This window comes from Homo sapiens, chromosome 3, assembly GCF_000001405.40.
Source record: "Homo sapiens chromosome 3, GRCh38.p14 Primary Assembly".
Classification (NCBI taxonomy): domain Eukaryota; kingdom Metazoa; phylum Chordata; class Mammalia; order Primates; family Hominidae; genus Homo; species Homo sapiens.
The window spans coordinates 140,998,975-141,005,392 of record NC_000003.12 but is presented as its reverse complement, the minus strand read 5'-3'; the positions used below and the strand labels follow the sequence as shown (position 1 = coordinate 141,005,392).

The window sequence follows — 6,418 nt, the reverse complement described above, 5'->3', positions numbered from 1 at the left end:
ATGAAATCCTGTAATTCATGGCAAACATGGATGAGCCTAGAAGACATGTTAAGTGAAATAAGTCAGGCACAGGAAGACAGAGATCTCATGTTCTCATTCATATGTGGGAACTAAAACAGTTGTACTCATAGAAGTAGAGTGTAGAATACTGGTTACTAGAGGCTGGGAAGGGTAGCGGGGTGGGTGGAGAGGAAGAGGTTCCCTAATGGATCCAAAAGTACAGCTAGTTAGGAGGAATAAGTTATAATGTTCTACAGTGCTGTAGGGGGATTACAGTGAACAATATTTATAGCATGTTTTCAAACAGCTTGAAGAGAGGATTTTAGTGTTCCTAACACAATGATAAGTGTTTGAGGTGATGGATATGCTAATTACCCTGAATTGATCATTACATATTGCATACATGTATCAAAATATTACTCTGTACTCCACAAACATGTACAATTATTATGTGTCAAATAATAAATAAATAAAAATGGAAGAAATGAAGGATATATGGAAATTAAGTGCAATACACTAGAAGCTTTTTGTGGGTTTAAATGTTTTTCACAAAATAAAAAGTCTAACTTAAAAAAGCCTTACAATAATGCTGGATATTTCAAGCAACCACAATCCCTTATCTAAAATTCTAAAGGTCAAAAGCTCTGAAAACTGAGTTTTTAAAATAACTTCTTTGGCAACAAAGCCCCACCTGAACTGCCATAAGGCTCTTTATGGCCTCGATTTACTCCCTTGCTATGACTACGCATATGCTTTGCTGCAGAAGTATCAATGTCCCATCATTCAGTCAGCACAGTTTCACTGACAGTGGTTTATGTGCCCGGCTCTGGGCCTGGTACCAGGGAGGCAGGGCCCTACTCTTCAAGAGCCCAGAGTGGAAGGGAGCGAATACCCAAGCTACCATGAGATCAGCAGAACCCAGCACAGGCCTGAGGGTGGGGGAAGATGAGGAGCAGGGGCAGAGAAGGCTTTCTGGGAGATGGGATGCTTGTTCACCAGATGAGTGGAGAAGGTAAGTGAGGACACTTTAGGTGGAGTGCAGCATGGAAAAGTGCTTGGAGGCTTAACAGCCTTACTTATTTGGGAAACTTAAATCAATTGTCTGATAGGAAAGACAGGGGAGGAAGGAAGAGAAAACAGGGCCAGGTCACGGAACTGAGCCTCTTAGCATGGGGTTACCTGCTTTTTTGATCCTGAAGTTCCCAGAGAGCTACTGAGGAGGTTTTGTTGCTACGGAAGATTTAATACAGAAACACACACACACACACACACACACACACACACACACACACACACACACAGATAGATATGAGGTAGGCAGCTTCTAAAAGGGCTCTCAGTAATTCCTGCCTCCTGGAATACTCTTGGGTAATTCCATCCCCTTGAGTGTGGGCTGGCCCTAGTAACTTGTTTGTAATGAATAGAATACGGCAAAAGCAACAGGTTGTCATTCTGAGATTAGGTTATAAAAGACTCTGGCTTCTTTCTGGCCTGCCTCTTGCTCCATCGCTCACCCACTCTAATAAAGCCAGTGCCATGGCACAAAACTGAGTGTGGGCTTTGGCCAAAAGCTATCAAGGATCTGAGAATTCAGTCCAACAGCTCACGAGGAACTGAATCCTGCCAACAATCACGTGAGGGCACCTAGAAGTGGTTTCTTTCCAGTAGAGTCTTGAGTTGCCTGCAGCCCCAGGTGACACCTTGCAACCTGTAAGAGTCTCTTTCGGAGATGGAAAACCCAGATTCGTGATCCATAGAAACTATGAGATGATAAATACCTGTTGCTTTAAGTTACTGAGTATCAGAGTAATTTGTTATGCAGTGATAGGAAAAATATTTTCTTCTGACAAAGGTAACCATCATCTAGAATTTTGTGTTTATTATTCCCTTGGTTTTCTTTATCATTTTGACATGGATATATGTTTGCCTAAACATATTTTGTTGCGTTTTGCCAGATTTTATACTTAACTTCAACAGAATCATGCTATCGGTATACTTCTGTGACTTGTTTTTCTTATTCAAAATTAAGTTCCTGAGACTGAGCCACATTGATGATATAGTTCGTTATGTGACGTGTTTCCGCATACTCCTGTCCATGGACTCGCAGAATGCTTTCAGTGTTTTGCTATTGCCACCAGGCTGCTATGAACATGCTGTGTGACTCCTAGAACACAGGAGTCAGGATTTATCTGGGGAATTATAGGCCTAGGAGTGAAAGTGCCAGTTTATATGTTATAAGTATTTTCAACTTTAGAATATAGTACAAATTTTTTCCCAAAATGCTGATACCACTTAACACTCCCAAGTAGAGTACATAAACATTTCTTTGTTCATATCCATTTGATATTGTCTGATTTATTACATTTTGCCTTTTTGATAGTTGCAACATGACATCTCATTATGATTTTAATTTGCAGTTTCCTAATTATCATACTATTAACATGACCATTTTTAACATGTTTATTACATATCAGGTTTTATTCTCCTGTGAAATACTTATGACTTTTGGCCAGGTTTTTACTGGAGTGTCTTTAACTGATTGATTCATAGATATTCTTTATATATTCTATTTCTATCCCTCATCAGTCATCTGTGTGGAAAATATATTTTTCCAGTTTTTGAATTATCTTTTCATTCTTTTTGGAGTACTTTGAGAAAAAAAAGTTTTGAAGTTTAACATAGGCTCACTTATCAATCATTTTTAATATCTTTTTAAAGCACTTTGAATATCTTGCTTAAGAAAACCCTTTCTCTCACTCATTTGTAGACTTTCTCCTATATTTTCTTCTTCTTACAGTTGTAAAAGTTTAGCTTCTCACATTTAAGTCTAATTCATCCGAAATGGCTTCTTTTAGTATAGCATGAGGTATCCACCAATTGGATATGAATATTTAATTCTATATTTTTTCATATGGATAACTTTGAAACAGCACCATTTTGTTGGATGGTCGATCCATCTCTCACTGATTTGCAATGTTGTCTCTGACATGGTCACGTTTCTTCATAGGTGTGTCTCTGTTTCTAGGCTCTGTCTTCTGTTTCATTATTCTAGTTTATATCCCTGTACCCAAACCATACTGTCTTAGTTACTCTAACTTTATAATAATAATGTTACTGTATCCTATTCTTCTTCTTTGGAAGCATCTAGGCTATGCTGGTTCTTTGTTCTACCATGTACATTTTGGAATTATTTTAACAAATTCTAAGAAAAAAGCTATTGAGCTTCAATTTTGTAGAACCAATAGGTCTATTAGACACAATTGGCATCATTATAATACCAAGGTTTTCTAACCATAACAATTCCTATCCATTTATTTGGGACTTCTTCAAAAGTTTTCCAAAAGAGTTATAATTTTTTCCACATTTTCTTCCTATATTTTCTGAGCTTTATGTTCAGCTATATGATTTTTCATGGTTGCTTTTATAAAAAAGGCATTATTTAAAATTTATATTTTGTTTCTTGCCTACTATAAAATACAGTGTTTTCTATATATCCTGCAATGTTGTTAAACATATATTAATTCTAATAATTTACCTATGGATTATTTTCTGTTTTCCATATTGATGATCATAACAGCTTCATTTCTTCCTTCTTAATTGTTTCTGGCTAGGACCCTAATTATGATATTGAATAAAAGTGATAAAAGCAGACGTTCTTGATTTGTTCTTGATTTTGAAGAAACTACTATAATATGTCACTTTAAGTATGATGTTTTCTATAGGTTTATTGAAGATATTTTCTATCTGGTTAAATAATTCCCCTTCCATTTCTAGTTTGCAAAGAGTTTTATCTCGAATGAATATAACATTTCACTAAATGCTTTTTCCACACCTGTGAGAATCATGTGGTTTTTCTTCACTAATCTGCTGATGTGAAAAATTTACACTGATAATTTTTTAAATGTTAACTAACCTTGTATTACTGGGATTAACCCAATTTAATTATAAATTTATTATATTTTTAAAAATGCCATCAATAAATTCCTTTTGCTTTGAGCCTATCAAGTTCATGAATGAGATTGGCCTGCAATTTTTCATACTGCCTTCTTGTTCCTGCTTTTGCAATCAAGATATAATAATCAAAAAATGATTAAAGAGTGTACCATTATTTTCTGTTTTCTGGAAAAATATACGTACATTTGCAATGATCTGTTCCATAAGTGGTTGATGAAACTTGATGGTTAAAATCTAGGATTTCTGGGTGTGCTATGAGAAAATTTTAAACCACAGATTAAATTTCTCTTCATAAGCCAGTACTAATTAATTTGGCAAGTGATTCTCATGAACTTGTTAATTTCATCTAAATTTAAAAAATGCTTAGTATAATATTTTGATAATCAACACAGTTAAGATGAGTTACATTTTTTTGAAACAGAAATAAAAAATCTAGTGGCTTCAGCTGGTTTCATTTTTGTTGTATAATGGTAAGATCAAAGGTTGGTTGTCTAGAGTGGTACCGTTGCTCCACATTGCTATCTGGGATGATTTCTTTGTCTTGCTGCTTAGTCATGTCCTGTGTGCTTGTGACTACCTTGTCACAGGTTGCTTGGCCTCAAGCATGATGACAGCATTCCAGGCAAGAGGGAGTAAAAAGGTAAAGGGAGTGAGATATGGTCCAAGTAGAGATAGACATCTAGCGCAAGGTTTCTATTTTATAGCTGAAACTGCAAAGGCAAATGCACTAAGTGGTAGAACATATCAAGCATTTGAAAAATCAGGGGAAACTAGTATATAGAGATATAAGCTCTATCACAGCTCTAGAAAAAAATTAACAAATGGCTGAGTGATTAGCAGGTCATTGAAAGCCAAGTGTGAAAGCCAGGGGGGCTTCTTTAGCAGCACACAAAGAAGGGCTCATCTCTGCAGTGGGAGGGCAAGGAGACTAAGGACCAAGCCTAGGATCTAATCATCAGAGCAGACCAGCTCCAAAGATTGAATTCCCAACCAAAGTAGGTCTGCTATGCCCAGGCCAGAGCTCTGATTGGGAAAGAATGGGGCACATGTGACAGAGTCATCTGAGTTGATGCTTCTGAAAATCTTAAATGCCTACTCTAGTGCTGACAAGTGGCACAATAACAAAGTCACCACAGTGGCAGAGATGAAGGCTCTGCCTGGGCCCAGCAGCATGGGCTTCCACCCGTAGAGGCTGATCGAGCTATTGCTGCCACCAAGTGGCCAACCTTCCAGCAACAGAGACCAATGCTAAGCCCCAGACATGACACCATTCCTTGAGGGGACCAGGCAGCCAGGAAGTGGGAAGTTGACTATATCTGTCCTTTTGCATTAAGGAAGGGCCAGAAATGTGTTTGGACAGAAATGGACACATATTTTACATATGGGTTTGCCTTTCCTGACAGCACCTCCATCTGAGAACTTACAGAAAATATGACCCATTTGCACATCACATCAGACCAGGGGGCCCACTTTCCAGGGAAGGAGGTATAGGAGCAGGCCTGTGATCACAAGATCTACTGGTTATATCACACTTACCACCCAAAAGCTTCTGACCTCATAGGCTTGCAATGGCCTGCTGAAGGCACAGCTGAAGTTCCAGTTCACAGGTGACACTGAATCAAGATGGGACACTATCCTCCAGGATGTTGTATACAAACTGAAAACTATTAGGTGGATCTGCATCCCCAAAAAGAGGAATGCATGCATCCAAAGGGGTGATTCCACCTATCACCTCTAGCTGGTGAGTTTCATCTTCTTGCAACTCTGGGCTCTGCAAACTTAGAGGTCTGGGTCCCCAAAGAGAGGAACACTTATGCCAAGAACCCACTTGAACCATAAGCTGCATCTGCCACCTAGGCATGTCAAGTTCTTCATGGCCAGCAGGCAAGAAGAGGGGTCTTCATTTTATCAAGGAGAATTGGCCCTCATCATTAGGAGAAACTTATGGTTTTCTGCTGCACAATGAGGGTAGGGAGGAATAAAGGGGAACCAGAAGATCCACTTGGATCCCTCCTGGTATTCGCTTTCCCAGTTTTGATGGTAGCTGGGCAAGTGCAGCAGATCTGTCCTGAGAAAGGTATGGTGACCAGACATTGAGACACTGCAGAGATGAGTGTCTGCATTGTGTCATCATTTGAACCACTAAGACCAGCATAAGCGTGACCTGAGAGTGGGGGAAATCTAGAATAAACTGGGGAAGAGGGAAGCAATGAGTATACTTGTAGCTTCAAGATCAGCTGCAATTTTCCTCTTAAGTTTCCTTCAGCAAGAGCATCCCACTGGAATTCCCGTTGATAGTGTTGTTCAAATCTTCCGCAATACACTGGAGAGGTGGATCTGGACTATAGTGGACAAGGAATGGCATCACATAGATCACCATTTCAAGAAATCTATTCTTTTCCTCTAAGTTGTTGCATTTATTGGCATAAAGATCTTCACATTTGCTTATTATCTTATTATTTCA

The 6,418-nt window shown here is 38.6% G+C and overlaps 1 annotated feature.

Moving 5' to 3' along the window:
* Positions 5,084-5,263: a silencer, noted in NCBI's record as "silent region_14772". NCBI's record gives its function as "represses an Ori minimal core promoter by ATAC-STARR-seq in GM12878 lymphoblastoid cells {active_cell/tissue: GM12878}" and the evidence as "EXISTENCE:reporter gene assay evidence [ECO:0000049][PMID:35858748]".